Source organism: Homo sapiens, chromosome X, assembly GCF_000001405.40.
Source record: "Homo sapiens chromosome X, GRCh38.p14 Primary Assembly".
Taxonomy (NCBI): domain Eukaryota; kingdom Metazoa; phylum Chordata; class Mammalia; order Primates; family Hominidae; genus Homo; species Homo sapiens.
In genome coordinates this window covers 5,235,821-5,260,142 of record NC_000023.11, presented here as the reverse complement: position 1 = coordinate 5,260,142, position 24,322 = coordinate 5,235,821, and the positions used below count along the sequence as shown (strand labels likewise).

General features: G+C 37.3%; 1 annotated feature.

Annotated features, from left to right (window-relative positions):
- Positions 17,058-18,039: an enhancer, noted in NCBI's record as "OCT4-NANOG hESC enhancer chrX:5160145-5161126 (GRCh37/hg19 assembly coordinates)". NCBI's record gives its function as "activates a minimal SCP1, AML or CMV promoter by ChIP-STARR-seq in naive H9 embryonic stem cells {active_cell/tissue: H9 hESC(naive)}" and the evidence as "EXISTENCE:reporter gene assay evidence [ECO:0000049][PMID:30033119]".

The following is a 24,322-nucleotide window of genomic DNA, read 5'->3' as shown; positions in this document are numbered from 1 at the left end:
TAAATGTACCATTCTGAATAAAGATTTTGGTAATATTTTACCTTCTTAATTACACTATCTCACACACTCCAAGATTTTTACAATGGATCTGCAATAGTTTTCAATTAGAAAAAGGTGCAGTATCTCCTGTGAAATATAAAAATGTGGCTGTCTTTAAAAATTGTAAAATTACATTTACGAACTCATGAGAACATGTATTATGTTAGCAGTGTTAAAGAGTTTTCTGGAAGCTAAACTTCTTTATAGCAGAGTTAATATTTCAAGTTAATAATTATTTTGAGGGCAATAGTGTATTCATTAGATTAAAAACCTCATTTCATCTTTGCATCAGCATGAACTACATAGCATTTCATGGCTCAGATGTTTGGTGAGCACAGACTCTGGGTGATGCTGGATTTTGACTGCAGCTCCCAGAGTTAAAATAACAGATATGAGTTATACCTTTTCGGAGGTTTGGGTATGAGAAACATGCAGGATGACATTCTTTCTCTCTCTCATCTCTGTTGACTCTTTGCCTTTTTTTCATCTCCAATTTCCTGGGTTTTTTTTTTTTTGTTAGTTTGCTTTTTGTTTTTTTAAGTTTCTTCTGATATGATTTCCCCTCCACGCAAGGTGTCTAAGGATTCTTGCATCCAAGCTTTCGTAGAACATCTTGCCATAGAATGTTCAAATGCCCAAATGGTGCATTGTTGGGACACCAACGAATGTTTCTCTAATATTAAACAGATAATCCGACAACCTCTGTGCTGAATTTTCTATTGTCAACATATCTTTCCTACCCAATACCACATAAAATAACAATAGGAACTGCCTTCATCAGATAAAGTTCCAGGTGAGAGATTTTCACGGTAGAAGAGAGGATGGATTTTTGTTTCTGCAGGGCCCCTGAAGTCAGATGCATGAGCAGAGGGTGAGTACGAATTGTCAAGTTTGTGCTGCTAGAAGCTTCCACTGAGAATTTTTAAATCCGCCTTAGCTTCAGGGTAAACTTCTTTCTTCTCTTCCAAGAGATGAAATTCTCTGTTTCCCTGCAGGGAAACCTTTCTTCCTTGAAGTACCTACAGCAGCTTCTGTTTAGTTGGCAAAACCCTAACAGATGCCAACCTAAATTGATGAGGATAGTGAATTCTGTGATTCAGAAATACTACACTACACTTCATGGATGAATGAATGTTGAACTGTGGATAATAAAGAGGAAACATGGAACTGTGTTCCATTGGAATGGAAAGTCTTCATTGATGGAGACAACTCTCTGATTTACTTATTTAATTCTAATTCATTAGGGTTATTTATTTTAGACCAATTAAACAGTTTGAATTCACATCTTCACACATCAAAGGCATCGATAACAATCTTCACTGCATTTTAAACGTCTAAGTCAAGTTTACATCAGTATTGGAAAGACCTATTTTCTAAAGCAAACAAATGTATCTCTGCCTTGCCATGTGGTAGAATTTGGGAAATGATATGTACTTTAGAAACCATTTTATTCATTACCTTTATTTTATAATTGGAGGAAAATAATATTGATCCATAAAGAGTAATTTGTTGTGGTTGGATTCTGGCTGGAATACTTGATTCTGAACAATCAGGACAATAATTTTTATATCCTGATTTTGCAAAATAAGTCTAATATAAGTAGTTGTAATAATGGGGTTTGTGCAACTGCTGAGAAAAATTTGAGAAGCATTATAAAAACAATTGTAACTTGAAAATATTTTTTTAATAGTGTTTAAAACTCCTGAGTTTTCATTTTCAAACTTTCTTCTTTATAGAATATCTTTATAGAGCATAAATTTTAAATTACTAAGCAAGTGATTCCTAAAGCCATATGTAATTAATTTTATTTGTTGTTCTCTGATTCAAATATATGCAAAATTGAGATTGAGACTATATAAGCTTCTACTTTAAGAAATTAAATGTTAAAATAAATTATGTGTTTATTATTATTAATCTTCTCCATAACCGTAGATAGATGTCTATTTTCTAACCTATTTTATGTGATCTGATATTAACTTAAACAATAAACTAGTAGCTTTTGCAAAACATTTGAATGTTTACATTAATTCAGTAAATAAGAAACTTTTTTTCCAAAGCCAGTGCATATATACCTCAATTTTGAGTTGACAAAGGTGCCCAAAATATTCTAATACCCATAGAAGGTAGTTAACAATATAAGAAAACTTATTTTTAACTCAATGAACGTACTTAATTTCCACAGACTTTTTAAAGCAAGTTGACTAAAACCAGGTGGCAGATGGGGCCATTATATACTGATGCTTTAAAAATGAAACAGTAAAGTGATTAGATTTGTTACCACTGCTGTTATTTTTGAAGCAACATAGACTCTTCATCATGCCCTAGGAAAAGTAGATTTGATAATTACACAAAATAAAACATTCAACCAGCTCTGTTTGATTAGCAGAGCCATGGTGTGGCAATGAGCACTGAAGACCATTTGAAAAATGGACAATTGATTGCCAAATTTCTGTGAGCTTTTCTACCCTGGGATATGTTCTGGGCCAAGTGTGAACAACGGGTTCAGATATAAACACACCCATCGGTTTCCTTAAACGGGTTTCTATGACTGGCATCCAATCTCAGCCAATCCTTAGTGACCTTTTTGCACTAAGGGCAATTGAGTACCTGTGAACACACACACATACACATACACATACACATGCACACACACACTTCATCAAAAGAAAACCAATCACTCCATCTTCTCTAAGCCTTGGTCAGCAACATCTACTTTGCTGGAGATGTCTCTTTGACTCTTAATAGATGTGGTGGATCAAGGATTTTCAAGGTCATGGGATTATCAAAGATGGACAGGAGAAAAGTGAAAACCCCAATCTCAGTCTCAATTTACCCTCTATTCTCTTTCTCTCTTTTTTTCTCTCTCTCTCCTGTCTCTCTGTCTCTCTCTCTCTCTCTTTTACTTTCTTTTCTCTCTCTCTCCTGTCTCTCTGTCTCTTTCTCTCTCCCTCTCTCTTTTACTTTCTTTTCTCTACCACCCTCCCTCTTATCCTCTCTCTCCTGATTTCCTCTCTCTCTTCTCTTTCCCTCTCTCCCTCTGTCTCTGTTACTCTCTCCCTTCTTTTTCATTTCTGTTTCTTTCTGTATCTTATATTCTCTTCTCTCTCTCCTCTCTCTTTATCATTTTTCTTTCCCCACCTTTCTCTCCCTCTTTCTCCTTTCCTTCACCTTCTCCTCTTTCCCTCTCTCTCTCTCTGTCTCTGTCTCTCTCTCTTTCTGTGCCCCCGCCCCCAACTTTCTCTCTTGCAGAGATAGAATACTGGTGCAGAGATAGAGATTTATGAGAAGAATAGGCTCACAGGATTATAGGGGCCAAGAAGTCCCACAATGGCCAGTCTGCAAGCTAGAGAGCCAGGGAAGCCAGTGCTGTGGTTCAGTCCAAGCCCCAAAGCCTCAGAACCAGGGAAGCTGATGGTGTAATTCTTGGTCTGATAATCTGGTGGGGATGGGGGTTGCTGCAAGTCCCAGAATACGAAGTCCAAAGAATCTGGAGTTCCAATGTCCAAGAGCAAGAGAAGAAGGTTGTCTCCACTCCAGAAGAAAGTGAGCAAATTTGTCTTTCCTCTGTGTTTTTGTTCTATCCAGGATCTCAACAGATTAGATGTTCCTGTTCCCATTGGATGACAGTGGATAGTATTAGCTCAGTCTACCGATTCAAATACCAGTCTCTTCTGGGAACACCCTCACAGACACTCCCAGAAATAATGCTTCACCAGCTATCTCGATAACCTTTAATTCAGTTGAAGTTGCCACTTAAAAGTAACCATTACAGGCCGGGTGCGGTGGCTCACGCCTGTAATCCCAGCACTTTGGGAGGCCGAAGCAGGCGGATCACGAGGTCAGGAGATCGAGACCATCCTGGCTAACAGGGTGAAACCCCGTCTCCACTAAAAAATACAGAAAAATTATCCAGGCGCCGTGGCGGTTGCTTGTAGTCCCAGCTACTAGGGAGGCTGAGGCAGGAGAATGGCGTGAATCTGGGAGGCGGAGCTTGCAGTGAGCCAAGATCGTGCCATTGCACTCCAGCCTGGGCAACAGAGCGAGACTCTGTCTCAAAACAAACAAACAAACAAACAAACAAAGTAACCGTCACACCTTGGAAGACAAGGAACATCCAAGAGAGATAAAACCCAGAGCTTCTCTGCCATTAAATTTGGATACGTAGGTCATTTTCCCTCAACCTCCCATGCTCTCCTGCATCAGAGGATGAAACAAAATGTGCATTGCTTAGTTGTCTTCTGTTTGCTTCATTTACACATCATCCATATGAGCTCTCCTCCTGCAGGGGAGACACAGTCACTTTATCTATTCTCCGATACATTGGAAGAGTCTGTGTTCTCTGAATTGATAGAGCATTCCTCCCTAACAACCATTTTAGTGTCAGCAAACTAGAAATACTCTCATGAGGAAGAATTAACACATATATTTTCAGTCTCTAAAAATTATGCAGTTTCTTTCACAGTTTATAAAGCCTTTCTATAAAACATCTCTGCACCAATTATTGGCCACACTATGTATCCATCAATATTGCCGTTTTTTTCATAAGTCCTTCTCTGCTGATAGTAGGAACTGAACAAAATTATTATTATTTTTAAACTCGTGAAGTAATGATCATTAATCCAGTAGACAGGCTTCCTTTGGGAAAAATGATTGCAAACATAAAGTGTTATTATTAAGGGAGAAAACAATCCTATGATATTTATATTGTTATATGATGTATTTAAGAGTTTTCCTTAATCTCTGTTTTATAGAGGAGAAAATAGAGTTAACTTAACTTTATATAATCTTAATAGATTTATTGGGCTAAATAGTTGAACTATATTAAAAACAAACAGTAAAGCATTTTAGAAAATTTCTATCCACGACTATATTGTATCTGTTCTATCTTCTACTACATCAAACTCTTTCAGGAAGACTAAATTTGCCTACACGCTTTTTTAAAAGAGTGATTTAGGAACCATTTTTTTAGTCTGGTAGACTTCTAAGGAGTAAACGCAGCCAAGTATTGATAATTCGTTAGTCATCTTAATGTTCTTCATTTTATATCATTTCTTTAAAAAGTACAACTTTTAATTGTGTCTTTTCTAAAACCTTTATTATGTCAAACAAAAATTAGCATGAAAATATTATTACATTCCTTCATCTAGAAATGTACTTACTTATAAATCAAACGTTTATTTTTGCATTATCCAAATGGAACTCTCATACTTAAAAATAACTCCTTATAAATTATCTATTTGCCTACATAGTTTTCATCTGATATCTATTCATTATTTGTAGCATAAACAAATATCAGAGAACTACAATGGGCCATCCAAATCCAAAACCTGAAATCAGTTGTGCTGTATATTACAGTGCAGAAGTCTGAATTTGAATTCTGTTTGTCTTAGAGCTCAGAAAATATTCCCAGCACCTCTGATTTGGCTTGCCTTTTGGTATCACAGAATCAGGGTATACCCAGAGATTAAGTTTTCTAAATATCTTCCCAAACAAATTGAAGCTCTTCATATTATTAAAATCCTTGTTATATAAATATCTATACATCAAGATATATAGCTTTAAAGATTGGGGTCTTGCTGTGTTGCCCAGGTTGGAGTGCAGTGGTGCAATTATAGCTCACTGCAGCCTTGATATCCTGGGTTTAAGCAATCCTTCTGCCCCAGCCTCCCAAGATATGTATTTTTAGAAATCAGGGTCTTGCTGTATTGCCCAGGCTGGAGTGCAGTGGTGTCATTATAGCTCACTGCAGCCTTGACCTCCTGGGCTTAAGCAATCCTTCTGCCCCAACCTCCAGAGTAGCTGGGAACACCAGTATGTGCCACCATACACAGCTAATTTTATTTTATTTTTCTTATTTTTGTAGAGTTGGAGTCTTACTATGCTTCCAAGGTTGTTCTTGAATTCCTCACCTCAAGCAGTCTTCCCACCTCAGCCTCTCAAAGTGCTTGGCTACCATGCCTGGCTAAGACATATATTAAAGTAAAAACATAATAGGGAAGTATGGCAAATAACAGGTATTATACAAAGCACACATACATTACTTCTTCCAGTCTTCACAGTAACTATTGAAGGGAGTCACTATTAATATCCATAGCAAGATGCTGAAACTCAGAGAAGTAAAAACAATTTGTCCAGAAGTACCTGAATACTATGAAGTACAGACAAAATATGAACCCAAGACATCACCCTGGAAAGATCAACACGTGTGTTTGTTGTGCTACAGGCACAAGTTTGCTTTATGGTAGCTATCTGGAGACTTACCTCAAAGTTGCTTCTATATTGCATTTGAAACAAGTAGCTAGCAATTGGATATATTGGAATTCTCTCTGCTGTTAGAAAGTAACCATGTATTCTTCCACGTATTTTTAATAAAACATACAGCATAATTTCTTTTAATCCCTTTTAGGTTGTCTCAACTAAAGGAAGAGGGTTTTTATCAGGTTGCTTCTTCGTTGTCCTGGATGGATTTATAAAATTTTGTATCATCCAGGATAGAGTCACTAAACAATAAAGGAAGCGATGAGAACTCTCCCATGCAGAAAAATTGCAAATCATTTGTTTCGATTCTCTGCCTTCGTAAGTCGCAACTCCCCTAGTGTGCTTTGGGCATAGTGACTTTCTTCCAAAGAGTAATGTATGAGAAGAGGAAAACAGATTACCTTTACAGTGGAAAAAAACGTGAAATAGTACTATCTCAGCCTGGAGTTCAAATTAACATCAACAGTGACAAGTCTTACTGAGAGTGTGCACTCTTCACAGCATAAGATGAGAACAGCGCTTTACCTCTGTGGGCCTCTTCTCAAAACCCATAACTCAGGTCCAATCGTGAGAAAGCAAAATCAGACGAAGTCCAATTGAGGGTGTGAACCCCGAAAATTTGAGACAGGTCTCAGTTAATTTAGAAAGTTTCTTTTGCCAAGGTTGATGACACGCATCTGTGACACAGCCTCAGGAAGTCCTGACGACATGTGCCCAAGGTGGTCGGGGCACAGTTTGGCTTCATACATTTTAACGAGACATGAGCCATCAATCAATATATGTAAGAAGTACATTGGTTCCGTCCAGAAAAGGTGGGGACAACTCAAAGCAGGGAGGAGGCTTCCAGATCACAGGTGGGTGAAAGACAAAACAGTTACATTGTTATGAGTTTCTGATAAGCCTTTCCAAAGGAGGCAATCAGAAGTGCATCTGTCTCAGTGAGCAGAGGGGTGACTTTGAATAGAGTGGGAGGCAGGTTGCCCTGACACTTCCCAGCTTGAAAGGGCCCAAGATATTTTCCTTTCACAAGGGTCATTCTGCCGAATATCTGATTACTACTCCTTACAACAACAAGGATATCAACAACAAGAAAATCCTGGAAAAAAAAGCTAAGATTTTGTTCAGTTGTCATTGCGTATGAGAAAACTCCCATGAACGTGTTGCCAAGAGCGATAAACATAGTCCCTATCTGTGAAGGGCAGATTTGAAGAACTAGAGATGTGAGGGTGCTCATGGGTCAGCGTTTACACTGAATTTTCAGAGTCAATGGCATGTTTTTAAGTAGATGGCTCCTTTTTTGTTGTTGTTTCTTAAAGGGGAAGCCTTCACATTGGCCTCTATACAGTCCTTGTAACGTTCCTAAATATCCCGAAACACAACAGAGAGCTCTGAAGACTGCCTGCCACAAACATTTAATTTTACAGATTAGAGTCCTGTGAAGTATATGTAATGCCTCTCTTTTGTTGCACGTGTCCATTGGAGGTGTCCTGTGCCATTTGGCTATATTTTTACTTTTAATGGCTGTAGTTTATTCTCACTGCTAGAAAAAAGATGTTGGTCATTAAACCACATGGTCAAATGTGATGTTATAAGAGAACCTATGAACTTCATTTTGTCTGGGAGGCAGGCAGCATCTATCTGTCCTGTCTCCTTACTCTGGTGGTCTTAGAACTTATTTTACTCGAGATTGTAGAAGACCACATCGCAGGGCAGCTGAAAGCAGGGTCACTTTAAGGCACCTTAATCTGTAATGTAGTGAGCTCCTCACTGAACCTCTAGCTCTATCTCTGCGTCACAGATCTCCCTCTTCAAGAGTCAGCCAATACCAAGCTGCTGGAGTTTATTTTTCAGCCCTCCTACTTAAACCTAGTTTGATATCACTTTCCAAAGTTCATTTCTTTCACTGCCAGCACTAAAATGAGTTATTTACAACTCTCTGGTATTCAGCAATCTTCTATGCATCACAGTTTTATTAGATACTTCAAAAATAGGGCAATTAGTAGGATGGAATCATAAATTCCAAAGACGATCAAATAAACTCTCTGTCTTCAATAGCCTGCTAGCAGAAAAGGGATCTTTAAAACTGGAGCATGCATTTGCATTTTTTAAAACTAGGTATTTATAGCTGTTCTCACCATGACCAGAATCAGGACAAGCAAGCAACTTTAAAAGATCATCTAATCCCAGAAATCTGCCAGCTTGAATGGAATGAGTTTCAGATGTATTCCTGATGGGGCACAACCTGGACTGTGAAAACCATCTTCTTTCTTCATGTTGAAAGGAAGATGCCATTAATCACTTCTGTTTCCTATGGATAACAGTGGAAAAAGCATATTTTTAGTTACTGGACTCTGTTGCATTTGTGGTTTTATTTTACTTACGCTCCAAAGAAAACAAATTTGAACTTACATAATGACGCTCCCAGTCACCTCCTACTTTCTCTCCCTCCTTCCTTCCCTTCCTCTCTTCCTCCCTTCCTCCCTCCCCTCCCCTCCCTCCCTCCTTTCCTTCCTTCCTTCTTCCCTCCCTCCCCTCCCCTTCCCTCCCTCCCTGTCTTCCCTCCCTCCCTTCCTTCCTCTCGTCTTTCTTTCCTTCCTTCCTTCCTTCCTTCTTCCCTCACTCCCTTCTTTCATTCCTTCCTTCCTTCCTTCTTCCCTCTCTCCCCTGCCCTCCACTTCCCTCCCTCCCTCCCCTTCCTCCCTCCCTCCTTCCTTCCTTCCTCCCTTCCCTCCTTTCTTCCCTCCTTCCTTCTTTCTTTCCTTCCATTCTTCTTTCCCTCTTTCTTCCTTCCTCCTTGTTTAGATTTTTCTCATTTAAAAATCAACTTGCTAATTGGACTGATTCTGTGACATTTGAATCTCTGCAAAAAGAATTAAGTTTTAGATAAAACTTTTTTCGTATCGTAAGCAGAGTGCAATGCATTAGAATTAAATAGTACATTATAAAAAGCACTATAGTAAATGCATGTTGTATGGATAGGTTGAGTTTTTACATCATACTAGTTTTTAAAAATTAGCTAGGTGTGGTGGTGCATGCCTGTCGTTCCAGCTACTCAGGAGGCTGAGGTGGGAGGGTCACTTGAGCCCAGGAGGTCAATGCTGCAGTGAGCTGTGATTATGCCACTACACTGCAGCCTGGGAGATAGAGTGAAACCCTATCCTTAAAATAATAATAATTATTATTATACCATTTCATTAATTACTACACTTGTAGCTTTGAGAAATTAGATGATCATATATTTTTCAGTGTCTGCCCACATAATTTAGTTAATAATAAGCCTCCTTGTTCTTTTTTCCTTTTTTTCTTTATTTGTATATTCTTAACTTTATTTCATAAAGTAACAAAGCGAAATGACTAAACTCTAACCAACCTAGTGGAATATATATTAAAAGAATAAATAGAGTCTGGAGGAAAAAGGATTTTGACAATATCTGTGAATTCAGTCCTGGTTTTTTTATTTCTCGCAATTGCTTGTAACAAGACTTGGACTCCTCATATGTACAGAGAAATAGCATATGTAAATGATGTGTCTGTTTAGCCATCTGCTGAACGGTTCATTTATGTCGTAACCAAATGGCAAATTCGCAGTGTTAGAAAATCTTAGGTCAAAGGGAAAAAATGGAGAAAAGTAAATTTTGTGTCAAAGAACTAAACACAGAAAATCCCTGGCTTGGAAGTTGCCTTCTGAGGCCTTCAGCAGAAATGTGGGGTTCTTCATCTCACTTGCAATTTGTAGCCAGTATATTGATGGATATTTTCTCTCTGCTTGGTCTCTGTAAAAGACTAATTCACATTGACTCCACATTTGAAAAATGAACGCCAAATAAATTGTAAAATTGTTTTCATGATACAGGGGCTGCTTTTTAATTTCAATGCTAAAATTATCACCTCCAAGATTAAACATTTTAGGTTCTGGTAACCAAGGCAGATTTTATCAGGGTAATTTAAACAAAACAGTAGCCAATAGCAAATATGAGAAAAAGGAAATAAAAAGACTATAATAAGTGTTCTAGGCTCATGTTTCTTGACACCCACCATATTGGGAAACTGAAACAAATACTGTCTGTGAACTCCTACATGTATTTCAAGAATGGAGTGTTCATATACCAGAAGGATGGATATATGCCTCAGCCATACCGTCTGACAATTTTTATTGGCAGATTTTATTGGATAGATTTGTAAAATTTTCTAAAATAATAATGTTATTTGGCCTTTACCTATTATAAAAATTGCAAACATTTTATTCTAAGTTAGGAGTCAGCAAACTAGACCACTCTTTTGTAAACAAAGTTTTCTTAGTACACAGTCCTACCTAGTGTTTATGGCTATTTTCAAGTGATAACAATGGCGATTAGTGGCTGTAGAGACTATATGGTTTGGAAATTCCAAAATATTAACAGCATTATCTGACCCTTTACAGAAAAATGCTTGCTTACTCTTAATAGGGTATGATATTTGGTTTTCAGTTTAGTTTGTAGTCTTTGGGCATGGATAAATTTTTAATTAGGTTTTATGTAGTTATATAAATCATGTTTTTTTCCTTTATGGCTTCTGAGTTTTCTCTTTTGATTTTCAAGGTCTACCCAATTATGATTCTACCCATTCCTCTTAACTTGATTCTGCTACACTTTATTCATATGTAGGCATAAATATGCATGGGTATGGCTTTTATGTGAAAGGTGTTTGCCATATTGGAATTTTATATATATATATATATATATATATATACACACATACACATATATATGTCATCAGACATATTGATGTATACTCATATTTCATAAAATGCACACAGATAAAATCATCACTGTATATTACAATGTTACCAGTCCTGGTCAATAGTGTAAAGAAAGAAAAAATGAACTAGTTGAGTAAAGATCAAAAAGGAAGAGTTAAAACTTCCATTAGTTGCAGAAGATGTGATTATCTGCAAGAAAAAAAAAGATATGACTTAGATTTAGTAAGAGAGCTTAGCAAGAATACTAGATAAGATTTGTAAGATTAACTTAACCAACTCATTAGCATTTTTCTGCTCCACAATAATGGTGTTCTAAGTATAATACAAATGACATTCATTGCACTGTCAGTTTAAAGGCATTAGAACATTGAGAATTAATTGATCTAAAGAACATACAAGGTCAAATAGATGAAACAATTAAACTGGCAAAGATGAACATTTATATCTTAAAAATCATCACTAATGCATTCAATTCTCCTACAAGTGTACTCTACACTATTAAAGCAATATCAGTGAAGATTCCCGTTGATTATTTCAAGAAATTCTACAGAAATTTTCTGAAATGTATATGGACCACAAAAAAGTGCGTAGTAGGTGAGCCACTCCTGATAAATAAGAATGAATAGGGCTGAATGCCTTACCAGAGAAATATTTTACAAAGCCACGTATATTGTTAAAGCAACTTGTTAGTGGTGCAAAGATATAAATAGACTAGTAGACTAGCACAGAAATCTATAGGATTATGGCTTTATGGGAATGTCATATACAATTCAGTTGGTGTCATGGATCAATGCCAAAAGACTGACCATTTAGTATATGACATCAAGAAAACTAACTCTAGATATGTAATAAATAATAGTGTTTCTTTCTTTGTTTCCATATACAAAGTTAGATTCTAGAAAGATAAATCAACATGCAAAATAATAAAGAATAGAAGAAAATGTAGAAAGCACGTATGTCGTTTAGGGTTGTGAAAACATTTCTGTTTTTTGAAAATGCAGAGGACAAGGAAATTGATAAATATTTTTATTATAGAAATATAAAATATGTGGGTAAAAATAAAAGAATTGATTAATTGAAGAAATATGTTTGCAATGTCGAAACATCACAACAAAGAAAAAATATTTAGAGAATTAAAAATTTCTGCAAGTCTATAAGGAATCCAATGGCCAGAACAATAATGTGGAAAAAAATAAATGGAAAATAATAGAAGAAATCCAAAGTGCACACTGCAACATAATCATAATGCTCTTATTTCCTGGGGCTTGCAATTAGATGGCTCAACCTGTACACCAAATTGCTTCCTTTACATGCCTGCACAAAATAGGTAATAATCACTACTTCAGGCAAAATATTCAGAGAAAAGTCTGAGATAGTTTCAGGTAATTGGAGAAAATTGCTTCACTACTTTTCACTTAAAACTTTCTAGTTATCAGAGAAATATAAGGATGAGGACAAATTCCGAGAATGCGCTTTAGTGATAAAAAGCTATCAAACTAATACCATGTGAAATGTGTTTGTTGCAGGTTTATTCGGCCAGGAGTGTTGGCAAGACTCCTGTCTCAGGAGCCGAGCTCCCCAAGTGAGCAATTCCCGTCCCTTTTAAGGGCTCACAACTCTAAAGGGGTGCACGTGAGAGGGTCGTGATTGATTGAGCAAGCAGGGGGTACGTGACTGGGGGCTGCATGCACCGGTAATTAGATCGGAACAGAACAGGACAGGGATTTTCACAGTGCTTTTCTATACAACGTCTGTAATCTGTAGATAACATAACCGATTAGGTCAGGGGTCGATCTTTAACTACCAGGCCCAGGGTGTGGCACCAGGCTGTCTACTTGTGGATTTCATTTCTGCCTTTTCGTTTTTACTTCTTCTTTCTTTGGAGGCAGAAATTGGGCATAAGACGATATGAGGGGTGGTCTCCTCCCTTAGTAACACCAATCTTATTGCTACATTTTCTAATTTTAGAAAATATAGTATTGTCAGGTGGGACGCAGTGGCTCACGCCTGTAATCCCAGCAATTTGGGAGGCCTGAGGAGGGTGGATCACCTGAGATCAGGAGTTTGAGACCAACCTGGCCAACATGGTGAAACCCTGTCTCTACTAAAGATACAAAAATTAGCCGGGCGTGGTGGCAGATGCCTGTAATCCCAGCTCCTCGGGAGGCTGAGGCAGGAGAATCAATTGAACCCAGGAGGTGGAGGTTGCAGTGAGCCAAGATCGCGCCACTGTACTCCAGCATGGGCAACAAGAGTGAAACTTCATCTAAAAATAAATAAATAAATAAAAACGAAAATATTGTTATTAAAATGGTTTGAATGATAACAAGGAATAGTAATATTTTTGTTTAAATGAGTTAATACATTTATATTTTTCAGTTGTAATATCTAATATGATAAATATGAAGTAATATACCCCAACATAAGGAAATATTTGGGGGTGGTCATCAATAATTTTTAAGTGAGTTAAAGTGTTGAAAAGTTCATCACCATTGATTATCTATCTATCTACCTGTCATCTATCCTTGTATCATCTGTCTACCTATAACTATGTCTATCTATTATCTATCCTTGTATGATCCATCTAATATCTATGTATATATCTACCTACCTATCCATCTATCACTCTGTCTACACACATACCTATAAGGATGTGTACATAAATTTGGTGTTAGCACCTGCATTAAAATTTATATGTTGATATTTATCTTTTTTTTTTGAGACAGAGTCTCACTCTGTCTCCCAGGCTGGAGTGCAATGGCGTGATCTTGGCTCACTGCAACTTCCACCTCCTGGGTTCAAGCGATTCTCCTGCCTCAGCCTCCTGAGTAGCTGGGATTACAGGTGCCCACCACCAAGCCCCGCTAATTTTTGTATTTTTATTAGAGATGGGGTTTTACCATGTTGGCCAGGCTGGTCTCAAACTCCTGACCTCAGGTGATCCGCCCACCTCGGCCTCCCAAAGTGCTGGGATTACAGCATGAGCCACAGCTCCTGGCCTGGTATTTATCTTCAATGCACCAATGGGGTATATGTAATATATTGGAATAGAATATGAGCTCTGGATTTCTAGCTCTGTATTGTTACCCTAGGTTTGTCCCTAAGGTGTGATTTTGGATGACTTATTTAATCTCTCTGGGCCAGTCTCCTCTTGTAAAAGTGCAGTAATCCTGTGTCATAATGTTGTAAGCATTAAATGATTCAACGTAGTTAAAACAACCAGAATAAGGCATGTAAATATTAGCTAGCCTTAATTTTAATAAAATGCTGGTAAGGAAAATCCTAGATCTGTTTTAATAACAAAAAATAAAATCCCACTAGCACACAGAATTAAAAAGTAGCAGACCAAAAAATTACAGGGCAAGGAGGTACATTACAAAGCAATTTAAATCTTACTGTAACATTTTGGCATAATGTTACACACAGAATTTCTATATTTGTCTATATCCCTCCCACACTAGCCATTGCCACATAATCTAGTGGTAATTTAATATTTCATAGCTTCAACTGTATAGGCAGGACTCAATTCAGTGAATGGAAAATTAAAAAAAAAAACAGAGAGACAAAGAAGAAGGAAGGAAGAGAGAAAGAAAGGAAATAAAGGAAGGACAGATGGAAGGAAGGGAAGAAAGGAAGGAAGGAAAGAAGAGAGTAAGGAAGAAGAAAGAGAGAAAGGGAGGGAGGGAAGGAAGGAAAAGAAAGCAGGGAGGGAGGAAAGAAAGAAGAAAGGAAGGAAACAAAAGGAAGAGGGGAGGGAGGGAGAGAGGGAGGAAGGAAGGAAGGGAGGGAAGGAAAGAAAGGAAAAAAGAGAGGGAGGAAAAAAGAAAGAAGAAGGAAGGAAGGAAGGACTAAAGGAAGGGGGGAGACAGGAAAGAAGGAAGAAGAAAAGAAGGAAGGAAATAACAAAAGAAGAAGTGAAGTGAAGAAGGAAGAAGGAAGGAAGGAAGGAAAGAATAAAAGAAGGAAGGGAAAGAGGGAGGGAGGAAGGGAAAAGAGAAAGAAGAAATGGAAGAAGGAAGGAAGGAGGGACGGATGAAAGGAAAGAAGGAAGGAAAGAAGATTGAAGAGGAAAAGAAAGGAGGGAGAGGAGAAGAAAAATAAATTTACATTGGCTCCCTGAGGCACATCAAAGAGGATGGGTTATGGCAATCCTTGATGAACAGAAGGCCCACGAAACACGAACAGGTATTCTTTTTGGTATCCAGTGAGAGTCATAGCATCGACTTGGAGTTAAAGGTTGGTATTTTGAACCTTAACTCTACCTGGATTGGTAGCCACGGACTCTGTAACTGTCACACCAGGTACTGCTTTAGCATCTGGGTGAGCACCAATACATCCATGCCTGTCTGTTCCTATCTCTTGGGCTTGGCCATGAAAGAGAGAGATCAGACACTCAGCTCAGCTGAAATTTGCTTTGTGTTTGCTCATTAGGAGAATACATGGGGCAGTTGGCACCTAGTCCTAAGAAAAACTCAAGGCTGCTTGGTCAGGTTTAGACTGTTAGAACTGGCAGCATCCTCACCACTGCTAGTTAACCTTATTTAGGGGAGAAAAGGCTATGAAACAATTCATGCTCCGAAGTATCATCATTTTGCCTCTTTAACATGTACAGACACTAACCATACGCTTGTTGAATCTGTATTTCAGGACATTCATCATGATCTTTTCCAAAGAGAGAGAAATAGATAGGTGGAAATATTTTCTGCAACAATGATACGCTTGTTTTTTTAAAAATCCTTTCTTATTCAAAATAAATTCATATTATTTTATTTCATTAATCATTTAAAGGAAAACTAAGATCGGGAAAAAGACTGTACCGATTTCTAGAAACTCTTTTTTACAAAGGTGTTACTAGCAATATCAAAGGTGTGAAGGTAAATGACGGGATGATATATTCTCAGGTAATTAACACTATGCAAGCTAATTGGATTCTGGGATGGTATGCAGCTACTCCAAGTTCTGAAATGGACAAAGAAAGAAAGATATGGTTTACGTGACCAAAAGATTTTTAAGACAATATCAATAGCTAATGTTTCTTTAAGCAGGCAATAATCATTCACAGTGCTATACACCTACACAAAATTCTATAAGGAGTTATTGTCCTATTATCTCAGCAACTGGTACTATTTAAGTAAAGTTGCATGTGTGTACTGTGAGTCAAACAGAACATATTCACTGTGCAATGCAAAAAGTTAAATTCCTGAAGAAATGTTATTTAAACATTAAACATTAAAAATGTTATTTAAATGTTACTCTTAGTTTTGGTGGGACCTCCCATATCATGTTTCTTGTAGTTCACATTCATCACTTGAAAGAAAAGGAGCTTAAAATATGAAATGCAGAATATACACACACAAGCACATTACAAATTCGTAAATGTAATTATATACACATTTATTATATATACATAATATAGTATATATTTATTATATTATACATTGTATTCTATATGGAAAGAGAGGGATCAGACACTCAGCTCAGCTGAATCTTGCTTTGTGTTTGGTCATTAGGAGTATACATGGGGCAGTTGGCACCTAACTTAAATAGTACCAATTGCTGAGATAATAGAACAATAACTCTTTATAGCTTTTTGTGTAGGTGTACAGAACTGTGAATGATTATTGCCTGTGTGAAGAAACATTAGCTATTGATATTGTCTTAAAAATCTTTTGGTCATGTAAAACATATCTTTATTATATATTCTATATAGAATATTATGTATATGTGTTGTATTGTTTTCTTGCTACCAAATTTCAAAATTTAAGCAATGACTTGCAAGTGATACAATATGTTAATTTTACAAAAGTAACTGCTTTGTGAAAATGTTGATTTTTAAAATTTTATTTATATAATAAACCTGTAATATTTTTCTCTGATATTTACCTTTAAGATAAATTTTAAAAGTTAACCTGTTTTTCTAAAATAAAATTACAAAAGAAATAATATCAATTCAAGAAGACTGTATCAGGCTAAATAATTTCTCAGTGTTGGCATGGAAATAGAGAAATGTGATTAATTATTAATCCTTGAAGCAGAGTGGATACCTCCTACCTCCTTGCTAATAAAACATGTTTTTCTTAATATTAGGACCATTTTCTCACACTGGATGAGATGGATTTGCATGGATTAGCTCTGTCTTCAGATGGAGGACAACTTATTTGCAGGGAAAGATAACAGCATCATTTTCTGTACACTATGTGGTTGAGGGACTGTCTCTCATCAAGTGTTTAAATGTTCTCTTGATTATTCCCAACTACTTGATAACAATGTCTTCACGCCTGGTGGCATCAGGATTAGTTAGAATTCTTTTGAAAGTAAGTGATAGACAAAAAAGTGAATGCAATGTGAAAGGAAAATATCTTGGGCCCTTAAAATGACTAAGCTAAAGGGAAAAGTCTAGCTGGGAACTGCTTAGGGCGAACCTGCCTCCCATTCTATTCAAAGTCACCCCTCTACTCACTGAGATAAATGCATATGTGATTGCCTCCTTTGGAGAGGCTAATCAGAAACACAAAAGAATGCAAATATTTGTCTCTTATCTACCTATGACCAGGAAGCCCCCTCCAACTTCAAGTTGTCTCACCTTTGGCGGGTTAGCCCGCCTTTCCAGAGCGAATCTTGTTGATTGATGTCTCATGTATCTCTAAAATGTGTACAATCAAAGTGTGCTCTGACCACCTTGGGCACATGTCATTAGGACCACCTGAGACTATATCATGAGCACGAGTCCTCATCCTTGGCAAAATAAACTTTCTAAATTAACTGAGACTTGTCTCAGATTTTCAGGGTTCACAACAACATGGAGAGAGAGATACTCACAGAGAGAGAGAGAGTGAGAGGGAGTCAGTCATGGAATGGGGGCTGTGGATATTTACTGTCATGTAAATCCACGATAGATAGTACTTCAGTTTCCCGGGACCCTTATTCATTTGCTTGAAATAAATATTTATAAGATTGAAAACAAATAAAAGTATCTGAATAGTATGAGGGATAAATAACAGAGAATAGTAACAATTTAAAGTATTAGTAAACTTGATCATCTGAACGTCACTAAATAAGCTTCCGTTCAATTTATGTTTATATAAGCTATTTCTGTATTTTTTCAAAAAAATCTTACTTGGTGTATATTTAGATGGTAAAGGTTTCAATTTTGTGACTAAAATTTGCATTACTTTATCATGCTGAGCTCTTGTTGCCATATTCTGGGATGTCAAAACCGCAGGTAAAATTTCATCAGGTTAACAACTGAGATAATTTGGAAATCAAAAAGTTTTAAATTCTGGCAACACTTGACTAAATTAGAAGGCATTCAGGAAAAAATAAAAAGAAAAACTAGTAAAGATTAAAATGATGCAAATAAAATTTGCCACCCTGGTGCAGTTGAATGAGAACATTAGTGTTTCCATGGAAACACATTATACTCTTTTAAATAAGAAATAAACATTTTCATTATGCAAATGCTTATATTTATCATCCCCTTTTAGCTGCTACATTGTCTTTTCACTACCAGATTTCAAAATTTAAGCAATGAATTGCCGGTCATCCAGTGTGTTTATTTTACCAAAGCAACCGTTTCTCTTTTTTTCCTTATGTTTATTTTTTCTTTTTTTAAGACACTAAGGAAAGTGCTTCCTTAATCATAGGATTCTGATACTGGGTGTTTACCTTGTTTACTCTAACGTATTTGTGATTAAAAATGATCCATGACATTGGCATCAACTGAACACTTTTTATACAAGGTGTGGTGGAGCATTTTAATTATTTGTGCAGGAACAGGCCATTTTCACTTCTTTTGTCGTTCTTCAGTTACTTCAGGCCATCTGGATGTATACCTGCAGGTCACAGGGGATATGATGGCTTAGCTTAGGCTCAGAGGCCTGACAGTGATTTACTCTGGAATGTTCTTTTCCTGCTTAAATAAATAAAATAATAAAAGGAGAGACCAAAAAACATCACGGAGACTAACAAAACAAGGCAATCATTTCCTGTGATCAGAAGAGCCACGGTACAGTTGACCCTTGAACAACACAGGTCTGAACTGTGTGGGTCCACTTTAAGCATGGCTTTTCATTCTCCTCTGCCACCGTTGAGACAGCAAGACCAACTCCTCTTCCTTCTCCTCCTCAGCCTACTCAATGTGAAGATGATGAAGATGAAAAGCTTTATGGTGATCCACTTCCACTTAATGAATAGTAAGTATATTTTCTCTTCTTTATGATTTTCTTAGTAACATTTTCTTTTCTCTAGTTCATTGTAAGAATACAGTGTATGATGCATATCACATACAAAATATGTGTTAGTTGATGTTTAAGTTATGAGTAAGGCTTCCAGTCAACAATAGGTTATTAATAAAGTTTTGGAGGTGCAAAAATTTTACATGGATTTTCTAGAACTGCCAGTTGACCCAGCAATCACACTACTGGGTAACTACCCAAAAGAAAAGTAATTGTTTTATCAAAAAAACACCTGCACTAGTATGTTCATTTCAGTCCTACTTACAATAGCAAAGATATGGAATCAACCTCAGGGTCCATTAACAGTGGGTTGCATAAAGAAAATATGGCACATATACACTATGGAATATTACACGGCCATTAAAAGGATGAAATCATGCCCTTTACAGCATCATGGATGCAGCTGTTGATCGTTATTCTAAGTGAGTTAATGCAGAAACAGAAAGTTAAATACTGCATATTCTCACTGTACATTCTCACTTACAAATAGGAGCTAAAAAAATGGGTACATGTGGACATAAAGATGGGAGCAATAGACCCTGAGGATTCCAAAAAGGGAGAGTAAGGGTGGGGGATAAGGGATGAAAAACTACCCATTGGGTACTATGTTCACTATTTGGGTGGCAGATTCAATAGAAGTCCAAACCCCAATATACAAAATATATCCATGTAGCCAATCATCATATGTATCCCCTGAATCTACAATTTAAAAATAAACCAAAAGCTATCTACAGATTTTTGTCTGTCGGCCCTCCTAACCCCTGAGTTACCAAAGGGCCAACTGTAATGCAATCATATTGGTGTGGATGAAGCCCCAATATAGCTGGATTTTGTCTAGAAGGAGGCAGAGATGATCCAAGCTGGTTATTTTTGATATCAAGAATTAGAAGTGCTTCACAGAAAGACAGAAACTTGAGTTTAGGGGTTCCCTGGTAGAGGCAAGGAAAAAAGTAGGTGCAGACTATTGCACCAGGGGCCAGGCTTTTATGGAGTTTCAGAGACATGAGACTTGAACCACACTTGTAGTCCCAGATACAAACTCTAGAATGGAATCAAGCTTCCAAAGTCTCAGAAAATGAGACTGGCACATCCACCAATCCCACCATGTTAGGAGTCTTATTCCACTCCTCATGAAGTTGCTGACGGTGTTTAATAAGGATATGCAATTATTATGGGAATATGATCTGTTTGTCTTAGGGAACATGTTTAATCCCATGCAAGAATCACGTGTCTGTGGTAGTAATATGGGGTGGCTGTGTCCCCACCCAAATCTCACCTTGAATTGTAATAATTCCCATGTGTTAAGGGTGGGGCCAGGTGGAGATAAATGAATCATGGGTGCAGTTTTCCCCATACTGTTCTTGTGGTAGTGAATAAGTCACACAAGATCTGATGGTTTTATAAATGGGAGTTCCCCTGCACATGCTCTCTTGCCTGCTGCCATGTAAGACATGCCTTTGCTCCTCATTCACCTTCCACTGTGATTGTGAGGCCTCCCCAGCCATGTGGAAGTGTAAGTCCATTAAACATCTTTCTTTACAAATTACCCAGTCTCTCTGGCATGTCTTTATAAGCAGCATAAGAACAGACTAATACATGTAGTTACTCTAAGTAAGCTAGTTGAGAGCTTTAGGTTGCTCCACTTCATAAATTTCTTTTTCATACTTAATTTTTTAAGTAAACTTTTAAATTAAAGTATAGCATAATTACAGGAAAGTGTGCACAAATCCTAAGTGTACCATGCAATGAATTTTTCACAAAGGAAAAGTGCCCAAACTTTTTCTTTGAAAACGCAAATTTATCCTATAAAACAAAATCACGACAAATCAAGAAACAGAACACTATCACCACCTGAGAAACCTTCTTAATTCCTCTTCCAGTAACTTCCCCATAGTAACCACACTTCCAATACCTACCATCATAAATGTGTTTTGTCTGTTTTGAATATTATGTGAATAAAACCCTTTAGAAGATGTCTTTTATGTCTGGCTAATTTCATTCAGCATTATGTTTTTGACATTTGTCCATGTCATTGTAAGTTGTTTGAGTCCCTTCATTCTAATATTCATTTATTGTCACTGCTTGTATTCAATTTTATGAATTCATTAAACATTTATTTATGCTGCCTTGTGGGTGGCCATTTGAGTTTTTTCTAGTTTTTGGCTAATGTGAATAATGATGCAGTGACCATTTATGTGTTTATATTTTCATAAGCATATGCGCTCACTTCTGTTGTTATTTCACTGGATTTTAATTTGTTATAATTATTTTTCTGATGATCTGTGGGGGTGATAAAACAAGCAATATTTCTTTGTAGATCCGTGGATCTCTGTAGGATCTCACAGTGAAACATTTTAGTTTGGATAATGATATTTCTAAGAATGCAGAACTTAGAAACACAGCACGATGAGGCAAAAATCTGCAAGTGGGTCATCTAGTAGTAGACATGGCCTCTGCTTACTCATGTTTGATTAATAAATGTGAGGATCATGTGAGAAGAACAGCATCTGGATTCTATGTAGCATTCTATGAAAAATCAGCACAGGTTTGAAAGATACTTTCTCCCTGATGGCTTTACCTTGGAATCCACAGAGGACTCTTTCAGCATTCCATAAACCTGGTGTCTTTGGGGTGACAGAGTGATGGTAAAAGCTGTAAATTTCAGGCATCAAGATGCTATCTTATTTCACTATAACATAATTTCCTTCACCAGAAAAAAAAAATATGTTGGACAATAGAATGGAGAATAGGCACAGATGAAATTGAAATCACAGGAATGATAGCAGAGAGAGGCAAATAGAAGTTTTGAATAAATATCTGCCGCAGAGATGGAAAAATGCTCGTTTCATCTCTGACAGAATGGATCTCATAAACTATACTTTCCATCAGGTGGACACCTGGTCCCCCTGTGTCTGTGATATGGTTGGCTGTGTCTCCACCCAAATCTCATCTTGAATTGTAACTCCCATAATTCCCACGTGTTGTGGGAGGAACCTGGTGGGAGGTAATTGAATCATGGGGGCAATTTCCCCCTTACTGTTCTCCTGGTAGTGAACAAGTCTCGCGAGATCTGATGGTTTTATAAATGGTTTCCCCTTTCACTTGGCTCTCATTCTCTCTGGTCTGCCGCCATGTAAGATGTGCCTTTTGCCTTCTGCCATGATTGTGAGGCCTCCCCAGCCACATGGAACTGTGAGTCCATTAAACCTCTTTTTCTTGGTAAATTACTCAATCTCAGGTACGTCTTTATCAGCAGCAAGAAAACGAACTATTACAGTCTGCTCCTAAATTAGGGGCTCACACTGGGTCACCATTGCAGATCCAGCAGAGAAAGCTGTTCTTAGTTCTGCCAAGGGAAAGTCTGTATTATTTACCATGCATATAACCCACAATTCTAAAACCATGGCTTTATTTTTCCTAAGCCCTTTGGGCAAGCATGAGGTGACTGTTTAAAGAGATGACCACAGAGGGAGGTTGTCAAATTAATCTGATTTTAAGAGACTCTTCCACTATTGGTTTTTGGTAGCATTCCCCTGAGTCACAAATACAACTATCCTCTGAACTCAATTAGGAAGCACCAACCTCAAAACTCTTCTCCAAAGCTCCTTACAAGTTCATTTCTGAAAAATAAAATAGAAAGGGAAAAATCTTCACCCCATGCAATGCATGCATGCAGATTCTTAGTTATTCCCAAATCCAGATATTTCATAGAGGAAGTGTGATTTATCACCACAGGCAAAGGTCAATGACTTCATAACCCAAGAAAGTGAATAGGAAATGCATGGCAGAAAAAGGTAGAAAGCAGCTACTATGTCTGTATAAAGCATTATGTGAATCAGAAGTGCAGAAGGCATTTAAATCCTCTTACTTGCTTATTACCAGTGTGTATTTGAATACCTTTACCCTCTTCAGATGATTTATTTAAGACTTGTTCAGTGACTACCATGGCCATTTATGTTGCAAAACACTTCGGTGGAGTGACGTAAGAAAATATTTTCTGAGTGAACTAGGAGGAAGTTTACCCAAATTAGAGCAGAAATGTTTTGGATGTTTTGGATGTACTAAGTTATAAGCGCAAACGATGCCCTAAAGTAGGAAGGAGCTTAGGGTGTAATTTGAGAAAATCTATATAAATACCTATTTTTAATAGTTTGAAATGAGGACATAACGAGTAGTACTGTTCAAAAAAGGGGTATGTGAGAACACAGGTAGGTGGACTTTAATTTTTTTAAGAGAGAGAGATGTATTTTAGAGACACATATCAAGATGTCTAGTTTAGGGAGATTTGTTCTTGCAGGACTTTCCTCACCAAAATTTCAACATTGAAAGTTTTTCATCAATGACAAATTACCGTGCTAACTCACACTGGAGCTGGCCAGCCATCGAAAGTGAGTTGATGCATTGCAGATACCAATGACTGCAGGGTTAGAGAGAGCTGGCTTCAAGTGCTGAGAGAAGATCGGGATGTAGCACCACTGCCAAACACCGGCCATTTTATGGGAAACGAAGTCACTCCTGCAGTTGAATTGGGAGTCTATGTGATCTTGTCAAATAAGAAATTGTGGCCCTCTACAGGAGGCATGTGTAACTGCTTTGGAAATGCAACCTGTGGGTGGTTGTATGTGTTTCTTTGCATGCCTGTGACACACGCTCCTCTCTGCCGCTGGAACTTCAGCAGAACAAGTACACCGGCTTTAATGGGAGAAGGCTTGGGCATGACAATGTGAAACGATTCAGTGTGTTGATGCTCATAGAAATGGTACAAAGTGGAAATCATGAAACCCAGCAGATCAGACATTTGTTCAACATTTGCTTTTCCTTTTGCCTCTGATTATGGCTCTCTTCAAGTGTCTTTAATATCGACACTAAAGAGTGCCAATGAAATGAAGCAAGGAAATCTGCCTTTAGCGCCGATGTAGCTGAGAGCTAAAAAAAAAAAAGACAGACAGAGAGAGAGAGAGAAAGAGAAAATACTCAGAAATGGTCAGCGTTGGGGAAAGAGTCACTATTCTTAGAGAATAGGACAAAAAGAAAACTAGATCAAGTTTCATAG